Source organism: Homo sapiens, chromosome 8 (assembly GCF_000001405.40).
Source record: "Homo sapiens chromosome 8, GRCh38.p14 Primary Assembly".
In the NCBI taxonomy this organism is placed as follows: Eukaryota; Metazoa; Chordata; class Mammalia; order Primates; family Hominidae; genus Homo; species Homo sapiens.
The window spans coordinates 51,318,407-51,343,762 of record NC_000008.11 but is presented as its reverse complement, the minus strand read 5'-3'; the positions used below and the strand labels follow the sequence as shown (position 1 = coordinate 51,343,762).

The 25,356-nt window shown below is 40.0% G+C and overlaps 1 protein-coding gene across 9 annotated transcripts in view, besides 1 other annotated feature; it reads left to right on the top strand.

Annotated features, from left to right (window-relative positions):
• Positions 1–24,186, top strand: part of PXDNL (peroxidasin like) — a 489,869-nt gene extending 465,683 nt beyond the window's left edge. For 8 of the 9 annotated variants that reach the window (XM_047421364.1, XM_047421365.1, XM_047421366.1 and 5 more), the window contains 3 exons: positions 4,010–4,139; positions 22,866–22,979; positions 23,741–24,186. In XM_047421364.1, the coding sequence (XP_047277320.1) occupies positions 4,010–4,139; positions 22,866–22,979; positions 23,741–23,872 (376 nt within the window). In that variant the 3' untranslated portion in view covers positions 23,873–24,186. The remainder of the gene's footprint in view (positions 1–4,009; positions 4,140–22,865; positions 22,980–23,740) is intronic. The other variant, XR_007060701.1, reaches the window with a different exon arrangement.
• Positions 11,479–12,678: an enhancer, noted in NCBI's record as "MED14-independent group 3 enhancer chr8:52243645-52244844 (GRCh37/hg19 assembly coordinates)". NCBI's record gives its function as "activates an origin of replication core promoter dependent on BRD2, BRD4, P300/CBP and CDK7 cofactors, and independent of MED14, by STARR-seq in HCT116 cells {active_cell/tissue: HCT116}" and the evidence as "EXISTENCE:reporter gene assay evidence [ECO:0000049][PMID:35650434]".
• Positions 24,187–25,356: the final 1,170 nt, after the last annotated feature.

The following is a 25,356-nucleotide window of genomic DNA, read 5'->3' as shown; positions in this document are numbered from 1 at the left end:
ATTGGAGGGCAATTTCCCTTGTTTTATAAGATGGTGATGGGGATCAGTCCCTTCCAGTGGTGTCCACAAGCACAGGCATGGATAACAACACCCATTACTACCTTCTGTCCTTTTCTACAGCCACACCCAGGTTTTACCTCAAAGACTCATTTTGCTTGTTTTTGAGATAAAATTAACTTATTACCGAAACACTTAATACTCTGGGTGGCCCATTGAAGCCCAGCTCAGATGTTGCCTCAGCTAAAGATTGGCTAATTTTATTTTTAGCCTCCTGCCAATCTTATCAAACTTTTACTCAAACATACACTTTACAATTATGAGTTCAGTTTATCATTAATCTGACAATAAAAAGGTAAGAAGAGCTCTGATTTGTTTTGTTTTATAACAACACACGCTTTAGTAATCCTTTATAGATTGTTTCTGTTGTGCTTAAATGTACCATAGTTGTTTAGACCAGAGGAGGTCAAATTCCCTCAACCAACATGCACAAAGAATTGCGGTTGTAATTTCACTTCTTGTTTTCTCTGTGTGCCCATTTTACTTGCACTTATCCTCTCTTCTCTATCTTTTCTTTCTTCTGTCTTGGTCACAAATTAAAGCTAGCTTTCAATACAGTATCCAAGAGTCTTTTTTTATAAGCAATATGTTGAGTTTTATGTTTTTGGTAAGAATCCAAAATATAGCAACATTCACAGTGTCTTGGGTTTTTGTGTTTCATTTTTTGCAATAACCTTCCTACCTGGGCTCGTTGCCTCTCTTCTATCCTTCCAAATTGTCTAAAATGTAAACCTGATCATTCTTTAAATCACCCACCACTCTCTATGGATGGAAAATAGACTGTGTACTGGTTAGGAGCAAGGCCCTTTTTTTTTTTTTTTTTTTTGAATCTTAATCAGCATCCCAGCTGTGCAGTTTAACAGCTCTATATACTGTGGACATGTTAACAACTTTCTAAGCTGCAGTATTCTTACCTGAAACACAGGCTAGTTATAGTGTCTTATAGAACTACTAGGCAGTTAAGTGACACAGAGTGCACGCTAGCACTTCGACTCCTGCCTGCGCAGAGCAGGCACTAACTACATGGACCTGACGTGGGATTCTCTTTACACAGCTTCCCAGACTCATTACTGCTCTGCTCCCAGGCAGAGGGCATTGCCTTCTTACTTATTTATGCATTCATGTTTGTTTGAGACTATCGTGGATTTTATTCTTCATATTGTGTGTTTTCAGAGATTTCTAATTTTTTTTCAATCAGAAATCAACAATGCAAAGTAATTTTTGAGATGAAAGAACCATTTTTCCTGATTAATTTAAGTGGTATTTTTTTCTTCTGAACTTCTGCTTAAACAATTTTTTTCTAAAATAACATGTGCTACCTTTACTATGGAAAAAACCTATTTGTAAATGAAATAATAAACTAAAAATATAAATAATTATGTTAAAAGTTTATTCTGATGAATATAGGTCATCCCTCCCCTATTTTTTAATTGAGTACTGATGATTTTTCTCTTATACTTTACTGCATTTTGCAAATCTTCTTAAATAGCATATACTATTTTTTATGGGTAAAACCTTATTTTTTATATATTTTATTTTACTTTATTAATTTTATTTTATTGTGATAAGAACACTTAACATGAGATCATACCTCTTAACACATTTGTCAGTGTACAATACAGTATTGTTCATCTGTCCATTGATGGACACTTATATTGTTTCCATATTGTGCTAATTATGAATAATTTTGCAGGTAACATGGGAGTGCAGACATCTCTTTGATATCCTCATTTCAATTATTTTGGCTGTATACCCAGGCGTGGGATTGCTAGATGAAATGGTAGTTCCATGTTGCTTTTTGAGGAGTCTCCATACTGTTTTCCACAGTGGCTACTCCAACCCACATTTCCACCAACGTTGTATAATCTTCACTAACATTTTTGTTATCTTTTGTTTTTTGGTAATAGTCATCCTAACAGGTGTGAGGTGCTATGTCATTGTAGTTCTAGAGGACATTATGCTAAGTGAAATTAGCCAGTCACAAAAGGAAGATATTGCATGATTCTGTTTATATGAGGTATCTAAAATAGTTGGATTCTTAGTGGCAGAGAATAGAATGGTGGTTGCCAGGGGCTAGGAGGAGGACGAAATGGAGAATTGTTGCTCAATGAGTAAAGAGTTTTACTTATGCAAGACAAATTAGTTCTAGAGATTCGCTGCACAACCTAGTACCCATAGTTAATAAATGGTACTGTATAGTTTCAAATAGATTGAGAAGATACATCTCATATTAAGTATCATCATGAAAATAAACAAACAAAAACCAAAACAAACCACATGCACACGTGAAAAAAAATAAGGAAATTTTTGGAGGTGGTGAATATATTTATATTTAGTACTTTGTAATATCACAGGTATATATGCACATGTCCAAACTCATCAAAATGTATACATTAAATATGTGTGTTTTTGTGTGTATCAGTTGTACATCAGTAAAGCTTAAAATGTAGTATTGTTGCCTATAAATACAAGGTTATACCTCTTATTTGTCTTCCTAATGCAGATGCTATGTGTCTTGCTTCTTTGCCAACTGTTCTGCTTTGAAAGAATGTGAGGAGCCTAACGGCAGCACCCTCACATCCTGCACCCATCTACCTGAGCAGAATGCCTGATGCATGGCCCATACCCACACATATTTGTTAAATTGTGAATACCGTCCTACTCCACAACATCTGGGCTCACCAACATCAGCCACTTCCCCGTGTTCCCACGTGTGGTCTTTTGACTGTTGGTTATATCTTCATACATTCATTCAGGCTTCTTCAGGATTAAATACCTTTGATTAGACACTGAAGATTTACAGAAGAGAGCATTATGAAAGTAAAATGTCCAACCATTTGCATTAATATTATCCCTAACAATACTTGTATATTTAAACTGTTTTAACACAGTACTGTATAGAAGCTAGCATGTGGTCAGTACTGATTCATGGTGCCTCTAGCTCACAGTGCCTCAGAGGACATGGAGTTATCCAGTGACTAAACTACTGCTGTTGGTAACTTTTGTTATTTTTCTTTGTTTCCCTTTTTTAAATTCCCTGATTAATGTAAACTCTATACTATGTCTCTGATTTATGACTTGTTTTACAAGCTCATAGAATGTACTGTTTCTGGCAAGCCATTTTCTTAGTAAACAATGGAAGACATATTTCAAATAGAATAAAGCAGAACAATTTTGAAAGTTATAATGGTTTCTTCACAAGGAACAACTTTTTACAAAATTTGGAAAAACGTAAGAGCACTTGAAATGCAGATATCATACCCAATAAATCAAATCTATCTAAAAATATTTTTAACAATACATGATAATTGTAAATAGAAAGAACTTTCATTTCTATTTCCCAAATTAGTTATTTGCTTCTGTTTTTTGAAAGTTTCAGTAAACTCAAAGAAACATATCTTAAATTCAACCCAAGGTTTCCTTATATCCTTTTATTATCAACAAGACTGAGCTATTTTGCATCAGGTTAAAGGTTAGATTTTTGTCACTCATAGTATCCTTATCTTATTTTAGTTCTTGCCATGAATTTATAATAGAGAAAGCAGCTTCCCTACCTGGCTACTGGATAATATGTTATATTAAATTTGTCACTGCTCTTTCACTGTTTAAAGTGAAATGAAGAATTCGTTAGCAAAAGAAATACTTTAAGGTCTAAATAATATATCAAATATATATGTAATACAACATGAAATTTCCTTTATGTCATAAGAAATACTTTCTTATTATTTTAGATAAATTACATGAACCAGATGTGACACTCTGGATTATCATCTTATCTGCCATTTAATTTTAATTTTGAATTCCACTCATACCATTTTCCTTTTAAGATCACAAAGAACACCAATCACAATGCCTTGTACATGCCAAATGACCAAAGAAGATTTGATGATATTTTAAAATTCTCACACGACTTTTATTTTTCAGCATTTTATTTGCTTCTTGTTATAAATAGGCAACAAGATAAAATATATGTGGGTGAAGATGCTAGAAATGTGACAGTTCTGGCAAAAACAAAGTTCTCCCAAGATTTCAGCACGTTTGCAGCGGAAATTCAGGAAACCATCACAGCACTCAGAGAGCAGGTTTGTTTTCTCTTCAAATAACATGTCCTTATTGTATGCGTTGGAATAACTAAACATAAAAGATTTGTCCAGTAACTCTCCACAATTACAGCACAGTATCAGAATAATAAAAACCTATACAGGGAGTTGTATTGCTTTTTTTTTGTTTTTACTTTTGCTTTTTTAAAGACACAGTCTTGTTCTGTCGGCCGGATGGAATGTAGTAGCACAATTCTGGCTCACTGGAGCCTCCACCTCTTGGGTTCAAGTGATTCTTCTGCCTCAGCCTCCCAAGTAGCTGGGATTACAGGCGTCCGTCACTACACCCAGCTAAGTTTTGTATTTTTAGTAGAGATGGGGTTTGGCCATGTTGGCCAGGCTGGTCTTGAACTCCTGGACTCAAGTGATTTGCCCTCCTTGGCCTCCCAAAGTGCTGGGATTACGGGTGTGAGTCACTGCACCGGCAGGGAGTAGTATTGTAATAAGAAGTGAGTTAGGGAAGGAGGCCTTGGGGAAACACACTACAAACAGGCAGAGAGCTTCATCCTTTCTACCTAACGCTCAGGGCTCTGATGGGCATGAATTTGGTCGGCACTGGCTCTGCTTGCTGCTTCCAACTGCCTCACCAGCACTTTTCTGAATAACTGTGAACTTGATGCCTGCTTCATCTCCACAGATGGAGATAATTTTTAACAGCACGATGTATACTTTTCTTATCAATTTTTCGTGGAGTAGAGTCAAAGAAGCTTCTTAGGAAGTACTGTTTTCTCTGGCTTTCTTTTTCTGACAAAGTTGTGGAAAACAACATTCCCACACCCCGCTATACTTTTGCTTATTTTGCCAGTTGTTCTGGCTCATGCCTTATTTCATTTTTCCAAAAACTTGAGGATGAATCAACAAGAAGGAAAAGACTTGTATTAGAAATTGCGATGTAGATATTTTTATTCAAAAATATATGTCTGATTTCTTTCAAGGCATGGTGCCAAGCTGTCTGCTTCTTAGACAGTAATGTCACTGTGAGGTATATGCTTTTCTTCATAGCATCAAAGCCTTGAAAGCAGAAAACACTGTAGGAGGATGGGCTGAGCCCAGGCTGTGCCATCAGGAAGTTCTGCCCTCACTATTGGCCTGACCCAGTCAATTTATTTAATCATTCAGAACAAGTATCCTCATCTGAACTTCAGGGCTATTGTGAGGATCCAAAGAGATTCTAGAACAGAAGGACTTTGTGAACTACAAGCCCCTTAAAATATGATTGCTTCTTTTGGATGTGAACACGTCTAGTCCCAGGTGGAGCGGTGTGATTACCAGGTGCATATGCTTCCCTGAGAGGCTCACATTGGGAAGCTAAGCTGCCTGCAGCTGTGGTCTGTATCAGTGCCTTCACTTGACCAGAAATAGCCACCATTGAAATCACTTGTCCAATCTGAATCTTTTTTCCCTTTTTTTTTTTTTTTTTTTTGAGATGGAGTCTCGCTCTGTCACCCAGGCTGGAGTGCAATGACATGATCTTGGCTCACTGCAACCTACCTCTGCCTCCCGGGCTCAAGTAATTCTCCTGCCTCAGCCTCCCAAGTAGCTGGGATTACAGGTGTCCACCACTGCACCTGAGTAATTTTTGTATTTTTAGTAGAGATGGGGTTTTGCCATGTTGGCCAGGCTGGTTTCAAACTCCTGACCTCAGGTCATCTGCCCGCTTCGACCTCCCAAAGTGCTGGGACTACAGGTGTGAGCCACTGTGCCTGGCCATCCAATGTGCTTTTTTTTTTTTTGAGATGGAGTCTCGCTCTGTTGCCCAGGCTGGAGTGCAGTGGTGAAATCCCAGCTCGCTGCAACCTCTGCTTCCCAGGTTTAAGCACAGCCTCAGCCTCCCGTGTAGCTGGGGGACTACAGGCGCCCACCACCATGCCCAGCTCATTTTTGTATTTTTAATAGAGATGGGGTTTCACCATGTTGGCCAGGCTGGTCTCAAACTCCTGACCTCAGGTGATCTGCCTGCCAGCCTCCCAAAGTGCTGGGATTACAGGCCTGAGCCACCATGCCCAGCCCAGTCTGAGCCTTATAAAAATCTGAAAGACGTGAGGCATTGCTTCTAGAAGGTTACCCTTAAGATAGATAGCATGCAATGGTTGGGGTGACTGAGAACTCTGGACATCACAGAGTCCGGAAACCCTATTTCATCCTCGTGAGTTAATGTGTATCAGGGAAGAGATGTTGTAACAGCAAAGAAAAGTCCTCAGAGCTGGGCTAGAGAAGGTGGGCCCAAACAATTTAAACATTAACTCATATATCACTCAACAAACTATTTTTTCATAAATTTAATTTATGGATTTACAGACACAGGTAGATTCCATGAGCAACATTTCAGTTCAATTTCCATTTCATTACATATTGGTGGTGATAATTGTGTATTTGATATGTGCTGTAGTGATTAAAAACATCCCAGAGATGTATGTTTTTAAACATACCCCAAGACTGCAGTAGTTGCCCCTTCTAGGTGTTTAGTAGCATTCTTAGTACTTATATCTAAATTTATCAAGATGGAGTGTTTTTGCCTGTTTAATTGTCTGTCTCTTCCATTCCACTGTTAATTTCTTAATAGTTGTGACTATTTCACAGGGGTATCTTCAGAGCCTGATACAAAGTCTGTGTTTAAAAATAGCCAGTTTCTTTGTGTTGGAACATGAAAAGTTAGCTCTAGATCTCTCCATAATCTAAGGTGTGTGACAGGCTGGACACGGTTCAATGAGAGAATTAGAAGGTCCTGTGATCTCTTATAGAGGTCAGAGACTTACTCAAGCTATGACCAGGCTGTAGAGGTGGAAAGAAGTTGCAGCAGTTCCCAGTGCCTCATGTACACTGAGTGACATGTAGCAAATGCCTGACTGATAGGAATTAAACAATAAATAAACATGACATAACACCAGCAATAAGAAATATTGACCAAAGCCAGAAATCAACCCAGATCATCTAAAGGGGATTGAGAAAAATAAAGAACCCAGGATAGATAGCAATGATAAACTGCAGATTTCCTGGGTGACTGTCAGGTGCAACTATAGTAGAGTGGGGAGCACCCAAAGGTAGATGGGGATGACGAAGACAGACTTTTGTGAGGGCCAACGGTCTTTTGAGATGCGACAAGCCCTGAGTATTTGTGAAATTAGCACTTACTACTGATCTGTCACTTACTATACTGAGACATAAATTTTAATGGTCCACATTGAAAGGTAGGTTGTAACAGTGAGCCTGTTAGCTGGAGAAGGAAATTTCTGATTGTTCAGTGTATGCCACTTTGTGGTTTTTCTATTACTCACCATTGTGGATGCAGTAAGTCCTGTGAAAAGGTTGCTTTTTACAAAAACCCTTTGTTTTGTGAAAAATCAGCATAGAGATAAAGGGCATGTATATTTCTGGAAGTGAAATTAGTGAAGAAATAGATTAAACAGAATCTAGAATGTTTAAGAGAATCTATATACCATAATGGGCCTCATCATGGGAGATTACTAATGTTCTTGAGACTCATCCTTTAGATGTGAGGGGATTCCAAACTTCAGCTAAAGATTTCTTACCTTTACTTCCTAACTCTAGGTGACATTACATTTATGGTCTGCAACATAAGGTCTGTCTTGACATTTCACACTGTTGATGTTTTACCTTTGTTAAGTGACTTTTGAATGTCTAGGAATGATGATTTTTGGTCTTGATTTATCACCATGATGGGATCAAGCTAACCAAAGTGGTCTGCAAATTTTCATACATGTTATAGCTCTTGTGTAAGTAGTTGGGCCCAGTAAATTATATTTGCCCTTTTCGTTTGATTCTGATTATTGTGGGAATAACTAGAGCCATAATTACACTCAGAACATTTTATTATTTCTATTTGAGATTGTATCTAGTTTACCTGACTGTGGAGAGGGCATGGATGTGTGTGTGTGTGTGTGTGTGTGTGTGTGTGTGTGTGTAGGGTATATAATGAACAATGAGATGAGATATAAGAATTTACACTTTTAATTATAATAAAAATGTTAATGAGGTCTTCACAGATATTACAAAAATGTGTGCATGCATGTACTCGAGGTACTACAAATAGGAGAGGTTTTAATAAAAGAAGTTAGAGATTCTCACAACTGTTGGAGCAGTGAGAACAAAGGTCATGGAAACAGCTACTGAAAGGAGCTCACCAGGAAGCCATAGCACATCTCAGTCATTTGTACAGGATCCCCAAGCCCAGCCCTCCTTTATGCATCTGCTGACAACTGCACTTAGGATAGTATCGGCGTCTCCTTCCAAATCTTATATCAGTGCCTCTCATTGGTAGACTCTAACCCAAAACCACAAAGGGAAAGAGATCCAGGAAAGATGGTACATGACGCCAGAAAAACACTTTGTGGTCACAAAGACAGAATTCTGTTCTGAATGCCAATTACATAAAACAAATAAACAAACTGATATAAACAGAGATATGGAGATCACTATGTCGGCCACTATAATTTGTTAATCTAAAATTAATTAGGTCTGGAAAAAAATGCATACATTAGAACTGTTCTAGAAAATCCAGCCTCCTCACTTCATTAAACAAGTAAATGTAGATGGTTGAAAGGAAGGAATAAAAGATACTCCAGAGGCTTTCTTAAAATTAGGAGACAGGTAATGTTATTACCAAATAACAATTATAGAAAGTGAAACAGTTAAGATTAAATAGGTTATGACATACGTAAGGAACAGATTGATGTTCAGTGTGGCTGGAGATTAGCTAATCAAAATTGTCAAAACAATGTACAAGGAGCCTGGTGAGGCAGAAAGTTTCTAGATGAGAAGACCTAATAAGCTCATATTAGATTTTCTTCTGGAATCTAAGTATATGAGGAAGGAATAAACATTTTTTCTTCTGGATGGATAGGAATTCCAGGAATTTATCCATCTCTTGTAGGTTTTCTACTTTATATGTGTATAGGTGTTCATAGCAGCCTTGAATGATCTTTTGCATTCCGGTGGTGTCAGTTGTAATATCTCCTGTTTCATTTCTCAGTGAGGTTATTTGGATTCTCTCTCTTCTTTTCTTGGTTAATCTTGCTAATGGTCTATCAATTTTATTTATCTTTTCAAAGAACCAGCTTTTTGTTTCACTTATCTTTTGTACTTTTTTTAGTTTTGATTTTGTTTAGTTCTGCTCTGATCTTGGTAATTTCCTTTCTTCTGCTGGGTTTGGGTTTGGTTTGTTCTTATTTCTCTAGTTCCTTGAGGCATGATCTTAGATTGTCTGTTTGTGCTCTTTCAGACTTTTTGATGTTGACATTTAGGGCTATAAACTTTCCTCTTAGCACCACCTTAGCTGTATCCCAGAGATTTTGATATGTTGTGTCATTATTGTCATTCAGTTTGAAGAATTTTTTAATTTCCATCTTGATTTTGTTTTTGACTCAATGCTCAATCAAGAGCAGGTTATTTAATTTCCATGTATTTCCATGGTTTTGAGGGTTCCTTTTGGAATTGATTTCCAATTTTATTCCACTGTGGTCTGCGAGAATGCTTGATATGATTTCAATTTTCTTAAATTCATTGAGGCTCATTTTATGGCCTATCATATGATCTATCTTGGAGAAAGTTCCATGGGCTGTTGAATAGAATGTGTATTCTATGGTTGTTGAATGGAGTGTTCTGTATATATCTGTTATGTCCATTTGTTACAAGGCATAGTTTAGATCCATTATTTCCTTGTTGATTTTCTGTCTTGATGACCTGTCTAGTGCTGTCAGTAGAGTATTGAAGTCCCCCAGTATTAATGTGTTGCTGTCTATCTCATTTCTTTGGTCTATTAGTAATTGTTTTATAAATTTGGGAGCTCCAGTGTTAGGTGCATATATGTTTAGGATTGTGATATTGTCCTGTTGGACAAGGCCTTTTACTGTTATATAATGTCCCTCTTTGTCTCTTTTAACCACTGATGCTTTAAAGTTTGTTTTGTCTGGGTGTCTATTTTCATAAATGCTTTTTTCCACCCCTTTACTTTAAGTTTATGTGAGTCCTTATGTGTGAGGTGAGTCTCCTGAAGGCAGCAGATAGTTGGTTGGTGAGCTTTTATCCATTCTGCAGTTCCTTATCTTTTAAGTGGAGCATTGAGTACATTTACATTCAATGTTAGTATTGAAATGTGAGGTACTGTTGCATTCATTGTGCTCTTTGTTGCCTGCATACTTTGTTTTTTGCTTTTACTTTTTAACTTATATTTTGTTTTATTGGTCCTGTGTGCCTTATGCTTTAAAGAGATTCTGTTTTGATGTGTTGCCAGGATTTGTTTCAAGATTTCGAGCTCCTTTTGGCAGTTCTTGTAGTGGTGGCTTGGTAATGGTGAATTCAGCATTTGTTTGCCTGAAAATGACTGTATCTTTCCTTCATATATGTTGCTTAGTTTCGCTGTTTACAAAATTCTTGGCTGAAGATTGTTTTGTTTGAGGAGGTTGAAGATAGGGCCTTACTCCCTTCTAGCCTGTAAGGTTTCTGCTGAGAAGTCTGCTGTTAATCTGATAGGTTTTCCTTTACAGGTTACCTGGTGCTTCTGTCTCACAGCTCTTAAGATTCTTTCCTTCATCTTAACTTTGGATAACCTGATGACAATGTGCCTAGGTGAAGATCTTTTTGCAATGAATTCCCCAGGTGTTCTTTGTGCTTCTTGTATTTGCACGTCTAGGTCTCTGGCAAGGCTGGGGAAGTTTTCCTCGATTATTCCCCCAAACATGTTTTCCAAGCTTTTAGAATTGTCTTCTTCCTAAGGAACACCGATTATTCTTAGGTTTGGTCATATAACATAATCCCAGACTTATTGGAGGCTTTGTTCATATTTTCTTATTCTTTTTTCTTTGTCTTTGTTGGATTGGGTTAGTTCAAAGACCTTGTCTTCGAGGCCTGAATTTCTTTCTTCTACTTGTTCAATTTTATTGCTGAGACTTTCCAGAGCATTTCACATTTCTAAAAGTGTGTCCAAAGTTTCCTGAATTTTTTATTGTTTTTTTCTTTAAGCACTCTATTTCATTGAATATTTCTCCTTTCACTTCTTGTATCTTTTTTTTTTTGATACAAGCTCTTGCATTGAGCTTCGCCTTTCTCTGGTCCCTCTCTGATTAGCTTAATAAATAACCTCCTGAATTCTTTTTCTCGTAAGTCAGGGATTTCTTCTTGGTTTGGATCCTTTGCTGGTGAACTAGTGTGATTTTTGGGATCATTGATGAGCCTTGTGTTGTCATATTACCAGGGTTGGTTTTCTGGTTCCTTCTCATTTGAGTGGGCTCTGTCAGAGGGAAGGTCTAGGGCTGAAGGCTGTTGTTCAGATTCTTTTGTCCCACAGGGTGTTCTCTTGATGTAGTACTCACCCCCTTTTCCCATGGTTGTGGCTTCCTGTGAGCTGAACTGCAGTGATTGTTGTCTCTCTTCTGGGTCTAGCCATCCAGCGAGTCTACACAGCTCCTGGCTGGTCCTGGTGGTTTCTGCACAGAAATCTGTGATATGAACTCTCTATGGGTCTCTCAGCCATGGATGCCAGCACCTGTTCTGGTGGAGGTGGCAGAGGGTGAAGTGGATTCCATGACGTTTCTTAGCTTGGGTGGTTTAATGTTCTATTTTTGTGCTGGTTGACCTCCTGCCAGGAGGTGGTGCTCTGCAGAAAGCATCAGCTGTAGTAGTATAGAGAGGGACTGGGCCCTAGAACTACCAAGATTATATGTCCTTTGTTTTCCACTACCAGGGTGGGTAGGGAGGGACCATCAGTTGGGGGCCGGGCTAGGCGTGTGTGAGCTTAGACTCTCCTTGGGCCAGTCTTGCTGCGCTGCTGTGGGGGATGGGGATGAGATTCCCAGGTCACTGGAGTTGTGTACCTAGTACCTAGGAGGATTATGGCTGCCTCTGCTGAGTCATGCAGGTTGTCGAGGAAGTGAGGAAAAGCCGGCAGTCACAGGCCTCATCCAGCTCCCATGCAAACCGAAGGGCCGGTCCCATTCCCACCGTGACACCTGCAACAGCCCCTAGTCTGTTTCCAGGTGGAGGGCAGGCTTGAAAACTTGCCAGAAGCTTTCAGGCTTTCTGCCTCCCAGCTACGAAAGAAAAGGGCTTTAGTTCTTCCCCTGCCTGTGATGTCTGTAAGCCGGATTCACGCCCTCCCCAGAGTTCTGGCTAGGAAGCTTCTGTCCCCACTGAAATTGTTACAAAGTTCAGCTAAGGAAGTCCTTCTCTCCAGTGCGGTTTTATCCCCTGCTCCTCCAGCCTCTCTCCTGATGGATCCCTGCAGTGTCAGGCAGGAAAGGGCTGCTTGGGGATTCAGTGAGCTCCCAGGGCCTCCCTGCTGCCTCCTCCACCCCTGTATTTCACTTGGCTTGGCTCTCTAACTCAACTCAGCTCCAGGTAAAGTCGGGAACATCTCCCACAAACAGACCTTAAGCTTCTCCAGTGGGGGTGTGTGTCCGGGAAAGGAGGGTTTCCTTTTCCCACTTCTGCAGTTGGGGCACTTACAGTATTTGGGGTGTCTCCTGGGTCCTGCAGGAGCAGTCTGCTTCCTGCAGAGGGTCTGTGGATCCTCTCGGGATTGCTGGTTTGTTCTTGCAGTTGATCTGGAGTTAAGTTTCACAATGCAAGCCTCCGCAATGCTGCAGTATCCGGATCTGCAATCTAGTCCTGCCTCCTGTCTGCTATCATCTATCGGAAGTCCTTATCCATTGTATTCTGAAAGCAAATAACTTGTTTGGTTTCTCAGGTTCACAGATTGAGAGGAATTTTCTCTCAGGATCAGTCATACTCTAGTCTTACCCATAATTGGTTTAGATGATATTTTAATGAGATTTGAGGCTTGGAATGGATTAAGACTTTAGGGGCTATTGCAATGGGGTGAATTGATTATTTTGCATGTGAGAAAGACATGAATTTTAGGGGTTCAAAGGGTGTAGTGTTATGGACTAAATTGTGTCTTTTCCTCAAATTTTCATGTTGAGTTCTAATCCCCAGTACCTCATAATGTGAATGTAGTTGATAACCATCTGCAAGCCAAGAGAAAGGCCTGAGAAGAAATCAACCCTGCTGGCACCTTGATTTTGGACTTTCAGCCTCTAGAGCTGTGAGAAAGTAAATTTCTGTTGTTTAGGCTACCCAATCTGTGGTATTTTGTTATGACAGCCCTAGCAAACTAAGATACCGTTTTTGCAGAAATGAAACAGCCTGTCGAAAATTCATATGGAATTATAAGGGATGCTGAATAGCCACATTTTTTTTTTAATATTGCCCTGTAGTTCTTAGATTTTATATTAGTTTTCCATTCTCAGTTTTTTCTTTGCATTTTAGTTTGGGAAGTTACTATTGACATATCTTCAGGTCAACAGATTCTTTCCCCTGCAACCTTGAGTGTGATAGTTAATTTTATGTGTCAAATTCTGGATCATGGGATGCCCAGCTATCTGGTTAAACAGTATTTTTCATGTTTCTGTGAGGGTGTTTCTGAAGAGATTAGCATTTGAATTGGTGGACTAAGAAAAGCAGGTGCCCCTCCCAGTGTAGGGGGGCATCCTTCAATTTGTTCAGGCCTGAATGGAACAAAAAATTGGAGGAAGGTTGAATTAACTGTGCCTGACAGCTTGAGTTGGGACATAAGCCTCTCCTGCCCTCAGCACTCCTGGTTCTCAGGCCTTCAGACTCAGACTAATCTATACCATTTGTCCTCTGGCTCTCCAGCCTTTGAACTGTACCAGTGACATTCCTGGGTCTCCAGCTTGCAGACAGAAGATTGTGGCCCTTCTCAATCTCCATAAACATGGATCCAATTCCTTATAGTAAATCTCTTTATATTCACGTCTTATTGGTTTTATTTCCCTGGAGAATCTTGACTAATACATTACGTCTACTGATGAAGCCATCGAAGGCATTCTTCATTTCTGTTATAGTTTTGATTTCTAACATTTTCTTTTAATTCTTCTTTTGCATTTTTATCTCTCTACTTACATTACCCATGTTTTCCTGAATGTTGCCTACTTTTTCTACTAGGGTCATGAATGTATTAATCATAGTTATTTTTATCCCTGCCAGATAATTTCAACATCTGTGTCTCATGTGGGTCTGCTTCTGATGCTTGTTTTGCCTCTTAAAACTGTGTTTTTTCCCTTCCTTTGGAGCACGCCTTGTAAATTTTGTTTAAAGCCATACATGATGTCTTGGGTAATAGGAACTGTAGTTGATAAGCCTTTGCTTTAGGTTTTTGTATTGAAAAGGCTGACTGTTGTGCTGTGTTTAGTGTTTCCTGTAGCTGTAGATGCCATGGCTTTAAATTCCTCCAGTGTCTTTGTTTTTGTTTTTCCTACTGACTTTGGCCTTTCTTATGTATTCTTCCTCAGAGAGAGTCTGTGTCTTTCAGCTGCTTCAGCAGTAATCACTGTTATTATGCTGGCATCCTGTTGATGTGCTGGTCAGGTGTGGGGATGGGAAATATTTTATCATCCTCTGATGAAACCTCAGCTTTCTAGTGGGCTTATGTTCTGAGGCTATGATTTTCACAAGCATTGCTCCAGTACTGTGGCCTTTTCTCCACCTCCTACTCCTTTCCCTGGCTGGTGTGCAGCTAATTGATTTCACTGAAGGGCTGACCCCTGGTTTTTCTGTTGGCTTTTTCCTGATTAAGTGAGTCAGGAAGCCTGGAGTAGGATGCAGTGAGTTAGAATCCCTTTTCCCAGTTTGTTTTAGGATTTAGTACTGTACCCTGGCAAGTTCCTTTCCCTTGGTATAGAGGCCTTTTTTATGGAGAAGGCTTTGGGTGTTTTTCATGAAGGATATCTTCCCCTCCCGCTGCCAGGGCCAGGAGGGGCTGTTTCTTGGATCTCTTCAATGAGAACCTCTTAAGTTTCCTTAAGGTAAACTTCTTGAATACCTTACCTCACTAAGACAGTAACACCTAGTAGTTTGTCATGCTCACATTTTTTATATTGCCCTGTAGTTCTTAGATTTTCTGTTAGTTTTTCATTCTCAGTTTTCTCTTTGCATTTTAGTTCGGGAAGTTACTATTGACATATCTTCAGGTCAACAGATTCTTTCCCCTGCCACCTTGAGTGTGATAGTTAATTTTATGTGTCAATTTCTGGATCGTGGGATGCCCAGCTATCTGGTTAAACAATATTTCTGGATGTTTCTGTGAGAGTATTTCTGAAGAGATTAGCATTAGAATTGGTGGACTGAGAAAAGCAGGTGCCCTTCCCCAGTGTAGGGGTGCATTCTTCAATTTGTTCAGGGCCTGACTGGAACAAAAAAGTGAAGGAAGCCTCCAGCAACTTCTTAAAATTTACCATTTAAGAGTTTGCATTAGTCAGAGTTCTCCAGAGAACTAGAATTAATAGGAAATGTCTGTCTGTCCATCTGATATGTGTATTAAAAGGCATTGGCTCACACCATTATGGAGGCTGGACAGTCCAAAATCTTGGCCTGACAGGCTGAAGACCCAGGACAGCTGATGGTGCAGATGAAGTGGAAGGCCATCTGCTGGAGAAGTCAGTCTTGCTCTGGGAGGCTGCTATTTGTGTTCTATTCAGGCCTTCACCTTACTGGATGAGGCCCACCCACATTATGGAGGGCAATCTGCTTTACCCAGAATTCACCAGTTTAAATGTTAATCTCATCCAAAAGCACTCCCAAAGCTGACTCATAAAACTAACCATCAGGGTGTTCCCACCAGTATGGCTCAATGCTCAGTCAGTCTGTCCCAGGTAAGCAGATCTTGGTTGCTGCCTCTCTTGTTATCCTCCTGTCTCTTCAGATTTCACCTTAGTGGTTTGCCCTTCAACCTTAGCTCTCTAAGAAATTTATTGATTTTCAGTGTGTCCAATTTTTCTTGTCGTGAGGATGGGAGTGATGATTTACAAGCTTGCCACATGCTGGAACTAATGCTGGAGTTGCTTTATGTTTTACTCATATTTCTGAACACAAAGAGACTTCTTTGCCAATTTAAAAGTCCTGGTATCTTGTAGGAGATGTGGTTCTTCAGGTTTATGGGCCATGCTCTTGCATAAAACATTTGGAGATGCATCTTAAGTACACTGAGCAAAAGTATTGAACTTTACAACATTGAGTCTTGGAGTGCTCTTGACTTTATAGTTCAAGCTTATGTAGTTACAATTCTGCAGTACTTTCCATTACCCTTTTAATTTTGCATACAAAAGGTTTTCAGCAACATGAATTGGTTAATAAGAAAGCTCTTCTAAATTTTCCGTAACTGTTTCCGTACAGCTCCCAGTGAAAAGACACTTACATGATTGTATCAGGGCCATCACTGAAGAAGATAACTTGGTAATTCTTGTTGTTGTGATGAGAGTTTTTTCTTTCACTGGCGTTTTATACAGCGGCTTGGTCTAGATTAAGCCATGAATTAGACAGGTTTTGCTAAGTTATGCTCTAGTAACAACCCAAATCTTGGTTTATGGCAACAAGGAGGATTGTTTTTCACTCACGTTGCTTGCTCTTTGGGGTTCAGCTGTGTCTGTCCTCCACAGTTTTTCAATCTTCCAACCCAGAGGAAGGAGCATCTCTAAATGGAGTATACCTTCCTGTTGCAGAAGGAGATAGGCAATAGAAGTCTCATTAGACAGTACCTCAGAATGTGATGTTTTTTGGCTTGTAGATCTCTGTCTTTTTGTTCACATGGGATTATCCCTGTGTGCCAATCTGTGTTCAGATTTCCTTTGTTTATGAGAGCATCAGTCATATTGAAGTAGGGGCTCACTCTACTCTGACTTTATCATAACTAGTTACATCTGCAATACTCCTATTTCCAAAAAATATCACATTCTGAGGTACAGAGGGTTAGGACCTCAAGATTTGAATTTGGGGAGTGATGCAGCTCAACCCCAAGCAGGAACCATGCAGATAAGGATACTTCTGGAATGCAGAACAATGATGCAATCATTGTCAGTATTATCTACTTTGACACAGCAGCTGCTTTTTGGGGAATGCAGTGAGGCTGAGAAGGCTACACTTTTGATTATATATCCTTAGGAAATCTAAAACTGCAATAGTTTGAATAAATTAAGTAAAAATGTTACATGAAATAGTGTCTAATGAGAATTCTATTTCTGGGAAGGCCGAGTAGATGTATTTTTGCCTCCTGCTTATTTTTCTTTTATTTTTACTTTTTTTCTGAGACTGAGTCTCACTCACCCAGGCTAGAATGCAGTGGTGCAATCTCGGCTCACTGCAACCTCTGCTTTGCAGGTTCAAGCGATTCTTGTGCTTCAGCCTCCTGAGTAGCTCAGATTACAGGTGCCTGCCACCACGCTTGGCTAATTTTTGTATTTTTAGCAGAGATGGGGTTTCACCATGTTGGCCAGGCTGGTCTTGAAATCCTGACCTCAAGTGATCCACCTGCCTCAGCCTCCCAAAGTGCTGGGACTACAGGCATGAGCCACCGCACACAGACGCCTCTTGATTATAGTATAGACAGCTACAACCCCTGGATATCACGTTTAAAACAAACATAAGATGACTCAGAATGGTGAAGAGCAAGAAAGCAGACTGATCAGGGACCTTGGGCTCCAGGAACAATGTGATGCTCTTTCCTGGGTAGTTTTTCCTCACGTAGCTCAGGCTTGAAACTGAAGAAGCCAGCAACCTGAGCACATCAACAGACACAGAAAAAGGCCCAACAAAACCTGAGTCCCTCTAGACAACAGGCCATAAAAGTGGAGGCCTAGCAATACAGGTAACTTCTAGACAATAACCACTCTACCCCAGCCAAACAGCACAGAAGAAACTGTGGCCCCCACCTCCAGCAAGACCAGCAAAGGCCAAGTGAGGAGGTGGCTTTCACTCTCCCCAGGGTATACTGAGGCACCTAAGGACACCTTGAGGCTGCTGTCCGAGAAAGCCAAGTAGGAAACTAGGGGGTCATCATGCCAGATGATTGCATGCAAAAACTTGGGGTCATAAGGGGAGCCTGGGCTTCCGTCCTAACCCAGCAGGAATGAAGCTCCCCTCCCTCTTCACTGGGGTGGTTGCAGAGAAGGCCTAGTGGAGGTTCCAGGTGCTCTCCATTTACCAGGGGGTGATGAGGCTGCCCTGCCCCTCACCATCCTGAGGTGCATGGAGGCCATGTCGGGAGAAGTCACAGAATACTATGCCTCCCATCCAGGAGGGTTATGAGGTGGCCTGACAGGGAGCCAGAACCCCAACTCTACCCAGCAGTAATGAAGAGAACCCCTTTGTGTGTCAACGGAGGCCAAGGAGGGAACCTGGACTTCTATTCCCACATGGCAGTAATGATGTGGGACCCCTCTTCCCATGCCAGAGCAGTTTCAGAGGAAAACACCTAAACCAGAAGGCTTAAGTAAGATCCAAAACCTCCAGGTTTCAATACGAAATTATTCATCATACCAAGAACCAAGAAGATCCCAAATGGAATGAAAACAGGCAATCAACACTGAAGTGATAGAGGTGTTGCAGTTATCTGAAAAAGATTTCAAAGCAGTCATAAGCTGGGTGCAGTGGCTCACACCTGTAATCCTAGCATTTTGGGAGGCTGAGGCGGGTGGATCACAAGGTCAGGAGTTTGAGATCAGTCTGACCAACATGGTGAAACCCCATCTCTACTAAAAATACAAAAATTAGCCGGGTGTGGTGGTGCATGCCTGTAATCCTAGCTACTCAGGAGGCTGAGGCAGGAGGTTGCAGGGAGCCAAGATCACACCACTGCACTCCAGCCTGGGCAACAGAGTGAGACTCTGTCTCAAAATAAACAAACAAATAAATAAATAAAGCAGTCATAAAAAATGCTTCAATGAGCAATTTCAAACACACTGGAAACAAATGAAAAATGGATGAAAATTTTCATCAAAGTAATACAAGACACAAAGGGAAACAAGATGGAGATTTTGGAACTGAAAACTACAATAACAGAAATAAAAAAGATCAGTTGATGGGCTCAAAACGGAATATGGATCAGAGGGGAAAGAATCAGTGAACTGGAAGATAGAAGACTAGCAATTATACATTCTCAACAACAGAGACAGCATAGACAAAAACAAGATGAGCAGAGCCTCAGAAGCCTGTGGGATTATAATAAAACATCCAACATTTGTGTCATTCAGGTCTTGGATAGAAAGAAGAGAGAAGGGAAGGACAATTCCAAAGAAATGCACACCAAGACACATCATAGTCACACTTTTGACAACAAAATAAAAAGGAAAACATTTTGAAAGCAGCAAAAGAGAAACATTACCCTGCCATTTACATGCTGAATGGTGAATGCTTGAATGCTTTCCCCATAAAACTGCAAGGTATTGCAAACAAGGCAAGGATGTCCATTCTCACCACTCTTATTCAACCTAATGCTGGAAGTTCTTGCCAGTGCAATAAGTCAAGAAAATGAAAAGGCCTATAGATTGAAAAGGAAGAAATAAAACTATTTTCAGATGATACAGCTGCCTACATAGAAAATCTCAAGGAATCTACAAAAATACTCCTAAAATGAATACATGAGTTGAGCAAGGTTACAGGATACAACATAAACCCAAGATAAACGTAGAAAAAATTAATGGCATTTCTGTATACTAACAATGAACACATGGGTGATAGGAAAAGGAAAGTTACATCCTTTTATTATCAAGACTTTTTAGTTAAGCCTGGAATAAAAGTGCCACGCACTGTATTTCTTATACTAATGACCCGTACAAGATTCTTTTTTTTTTTATTTTTTTATTTTATTTTATTTTATTTTTTTTGAGATGAAGTTTTGCTCTTGTCACCCAGGCTGGAGTGCAATGGCATGATCTTGGCTCACTGCAACTTCTACCTCTTGGGTTCAAATGATTATCCTGCCTCAGCCTCCCGAGTAGCTGGGATTACAGGCACCCACCACTACGCCCGGCTAATTTTCTTGTATATTTAGTAGAGACAGGGTTTCACCATGTTGACCCGGCTGGTCTTGAACTTCTGACCTCAGGTGATCCCCCTGCCTCAGCCTCCCAAAGTGCTGAGATTATAAGCATGAGCCACCGCACCCAGCCCTGGTACATACAAGATTCTTAAACTATTTATTTCCCTTCTTAGAGCAGGGTGTGGTGGTTTAAGCCTGTAATCCCAGCACTTTGGGAAGCCAAGACAGAGTGATTGCTTGAGCCCAGGAGTTTAGGATCAGCCTGGGTAATATAGCGAGACCCCATCTTTACAAAACAACAGCAACAACAAAAAATTAGCTGGACGTGGTGGCATACACCAGTGGTTCCAGCTACCTGGGAGGCTGAGGAGGGATGATCACTTAAGCCCAGGAGGTTGAGGATACAGTGAGCCATGATGGTGCCACTACACTCCAGCCTGGGTGACAGAGCGAGACTGTCTCAAAAAACAAAACAAAACAAAAAAAGCAAAACTATTTCCCTTAAATAATTTATTAATTTGTTAGCTTATTTAAATTTGAAAAAGCTTTACTGTCCTAAGTGCCTAAAGTTTAGAATAGATATGCATTTTCCCAGTGTTTTTGGACATAAAAGTTTTCTATATGTCCTAGTCTGCTAGGACATATTCATTAATATCTTTAGAGATTTTTTTGTGATTTTCATACTTCAAACCCATGACCCCACTCAAGAATGGATTATTTGGTTCACATCTGGTTATTGTGAAGCCTTGTCATTCAAGCCTGCATTGTAATATTTGTCTTATCATCCTCTCCATTCTCACTGCTCACCTAAAGTCAGGGGTCAAGTCCTGCTAGTTTATTAGTGTATTAGCTGGTACATATCAGGTACTGAATATATCTATTGAGTAATGAATGGGTGGATGCCACTGCCCAAGTGTAGGCACTCATGCTAAATTATCTTCCAAGAACCAACCCTCCTGTCCTACTTCAATACAAAAGCAGTGAAAAGAATTTACAGAATCAAAATTCTTTCACATCAAGACTTTTTGCTTTCTAAATGAAGTCTGAGTTCATCGTGATTTTTTGGGTTCTCCTCTTCTCCTTAAACCCACATCTAGCCAATCTCCTCTACCTGCTACATGGCTCTTTTTGTCTCACTCCCTCCTTCCTCAGTGGAGCCCATATTGGTCTCCATGTTAGTTTCTCACCAGTGATCCTTCATGTTGCCACAGGAGTGATCATTGTGATGTTATTTCCCATTGCCTGGAGACTGCACTTAATTAATTTATGTGACTTTTAAGGGCCTAATTTTCTTTGCTGCCCACTCATCCCACCTCAGTTCCCACTAACATGTTCTCTGTAGATCTCCCCAACAAAGGAGGGGAGAGAAATGTACATTTCTGAAATACTGATCTGTTTCTGGTACCCATGCTTTAACACATATTTTTTTTTTTCCATTTGCCTGAAATGCCTTTTCCCTGCTTGTTCTCCTGAAAGACATGGTCATCTCTCACAGCTCAAATGCTTTTTTCCATATATCATATATTAGTCTGCTCAGGCACCATAGCAGAATACAAGAAAATGGGTAACTTAAAACAGTTTGTTTTTTCACAGTTCTGGAGGCTGAAAGTCCACGATCAAAGTGTCAGCAGGGATGGTTTCTTCCAAGGCCTCACGCCTTGGCTTGCTGATGGCCACCTTCTCCCTGTGTCCTCACATGGCCTTCGCTGTGTGAGCACATCTGGTGTCTCTTCCTCTTTTTTACAAGGACACCAATGTTATTGGGTTAGAGCCCCACTCCCATGACCTAATTTAACCTTAATTACATCCTTCGAGGCCCTATGCCCAAATATAGTCACATTGGGGATTACGGCTTCAACTTATGAATTTTGGGGGAACACAGTTCAGTCCATAATATCAGGCATCCCCTCATTCCCTGAGGCAGAACTGAGTGTGGCTTCTGTGTTAGTTCATTCTCACACTGCTATAAAGAACTACCTGACACTGGGCAATTTATGAAGAAAATAGGTTTAGTTGACTTACAGTTCCATAGGGTTAACAGGAAGCATGACTGGGAGGCCTCAGGAAGCTTACAATCATGGTGGAAGGCAAAGGGGAAGCAAGCACCTTCTTCACATGGCAGCAGGAGAGAGAGAGCAAATGGGGGAGGAACTGCCACACACCTTTAAACCATCAGATCTCATGAGAATTCACTACCCCGAGAACAGCATGGGGGAAATCTGCCCCCAAGATCCAATCACCTCCCACTAGGTCCCTCCCCCAGCATTTGGAATTACAATTCAACATGAGATTGGGTGGGGACACAAAGCCAAACCATATCAACTGCCCTTCTGCTCCCCTTGGGATTCCTAAAGACCGTTATTATCTAAAGGCTTATAGCTGTGGTTTATTGGCCTTTATACCAAATTGTAAAGTTGGAGAGACCCTGGTCTGCTTGCTTTCATCTTTGAAACTTAATAAATATTTGTTAAATAAATATTATTTTATAACAACTTGGGGGACAAAAAATAAATAAAATACTTATTAGTTGAATTTACAAGTGTGCTTATTGAGAAGATTTTCCAAATATGTAATTTCATTCATTTGATTTTAATTCCCCTTCCTTTAGAAATTAACTCTTTCATACTCTAGGTCCATGTTCAATATTTTTTAACACCTACAGAACTGTTTATTTGTTTGGATACTGGATGATTCAAGCTCATTAAGTCCTGGGGGAAAATGAAAAATTATGTAGGCTTTGAAGTTTCTTTTGCCTTCTAGGTGTGTGCTTACAGAATAGAGCATTTCATCAAACCATGTTATTGATTGGCTTTGTTGCTATCCGCTTCAATTTCCACTCTTCTTTCCTTTGCCTCCCCTTTCAGATAAACAAGCTGGAGGCACGCCTGAGGCAGGCAGGGTGTACAGATGTTAGAGGGGTTCCAAGGAAGGCCGAGGAGCGCTGGATGAAAGAAGACTGCACTCACTGCATTTGTGAGGTTTGTGCTGCGAGTTTTCCAGTCCAACTCCCCATTTCACTTCTAGCCAGCCAGTTGAAGCATACTTGAAAAATTCAAAAGGAGAAAAAATATATTTTATGTCAATAGATTCTAGGCATATTTTTAAGATCAAGGTACTGGTGTGAAATTTTGAGGCTTTTGCTTATTAATAAAAGAGTATAGTCACAATCTAATGAGCAGTCGCTAGAGACCACGAGCTTTTTCCATGTTCACTGATGGACGAGGGAACCAAGGCTAAGGAAGTTTATGTCAGTAAGTAAACTGAGCCAACCTGGGACTTGAGTTCATCTCATTATTCTTCAGTCAGGCTCATTATAAATGCTGCCTAAAGGCACTTGGTAAACCTACACAATTCTATGGAAAAATAAAAAAGTGTTATCATGGTGTCTACCAAAACAAAAGAAAATAAAAATGCTCTGTATTCGTTATTTAGTTTGCTTTTTGAACAGAGCTGATTCTTTCCAGCCATGTAGAAATGCATGAACTTCCTCAGCTAATCCTACCATATGGTACAGTAAGGTAGGTAACATTTTATAGGGCAGGCTTGCTGTTCGTGCTGCAAATGTATAGAAAGAAAGAATGAATAGAAACCATGCAAAAATGAGCTCATACTATGAGCATTTTTTATTATATTGAGACAGTCAGCTTATTAGATTATGTATTATAAGAAACATTTATTTGTCTTTTAAGTACTTTGATTATAAGAAACATGGAGGTGATATGTGCATGCTGCCTTTCAGAGTGGCCAGGTCACCTGTGTGGTGGAGATTTGTCCCCCGGCTCCCTGTCCCAGTCCTGAATTGGTGAAAGGAACCTGCTGTCCAGTTTGCAGAGACCGAGGAATGCCAAGTGATTCCCCAGAGAAGCGCTAATAAAAGTTTTGTGCTGTTGAGCCCCAAATGGGAAATTTCTCAGGAAGAGACATTTAGGACTTCAGAACTTTTAACTTGTAGTCACATTGTTGATATGGAAACCACTGACTTAAGCAACTTAGTTCATCTAATCTTACATATACTTACGATCTTTTATTTTTTCATTTTCTAACATACCTTGAAATAATTCAAAACTAAAAGCAATAAAGTGCATATGAAGTGTTTGATCATAAGAAATATTTCTTACTGTAAGCTGTCAGTTTTATATGCCACACCTGGAAATAAAAAGAATATCATGGAATATTTAAAAAATATATGAGTATTGTGGAAAATCTCTAATTTTGGAATTCAGAGAGGTTTCAAGGTTTCATATCTGCAGGAATTTTGAAATAATGAGTTTTGCACTTACAGAAAACATCTGGAAGGGTCTGTGATACATTCGTGACAATGTTGTGATGCTGTTCTCCCCACTGACCCCCCTTTCTCAGATCTACAACCTAGACAATTGTCAGACTTTGCTGGGAAGGCACTTATCTTAACCATCATTAGTCGCTAAGTCCTCGGACATAAGGAAAAAGTCAGTGAAGGAATATCATTATTTTAGGGAGCTTGTTAGTTCTGCATGTGGCTGAAAAATGCAAACTCTCTGAGAGAAAGAGACTTTAAAGTAGAACTGCTCAATATCCACCTTCCTCTTACTTGGCATTATTGCCATTCCTGAGATGTCAAAATTGAAATATAACCAAGCCTGAAATTCAGGAGCAATCTGAATTTACTATAAGCAGACTTGAAAGTGTTTCTGACTTTTACAAAAGGTGTTACTGTGGGGTTCTTCTAATTTGGGCACTTTCTTACAGCATTTGACACAGAACCCCATAGACAAGTGTATTTATACTCAGAATTGAGTATTAAGTAATTTAGGTGATTTTCACTTCATATTAGATCAGAGCCTTTAAAATCTGATATAAAAATATGTACCCATATGTGGGGTTGATAGATCTTTTTAAAGAATACTTTGTGCCAAGACTTTTTTTTTTTTTTTTTGAGACAAGGTCTCACTCTGTCACCCAGGCTGGAGTGCAGTGCAGTGGTGCCTTCACGGCTCACTGCAGCTTCACCTCCTGGGCTCAAGCAATAGTCTCATCTCAGCCTCTTGAGTAGGTGGGACTACAGGTGCACGTCACCATGTCCAACTAATTGTTTTTTTTTTTTTAATTTTGTAGAAATAGGGTTTCACTGTGTTCCCCAGGCAGATCTCAAACTTCTGGCCTCAAGCTGTCCTCCCTCCTCAGCCTCCCAAAGCACTGGAATTACAAGCATAAGCCACCATGACAGCCAAACCCTTTAAGGAAAGATTTCATGTAGTGTCCTGCCAAGAGAGGGCCTCGAAGAGAGAGTGCTACTGTTTTTCAATTACAAAATAAACTTTTAAAAATAGGCATCATTTCCCAATATTTAGAGTCCTTTTGTAAAATGCAGTATTA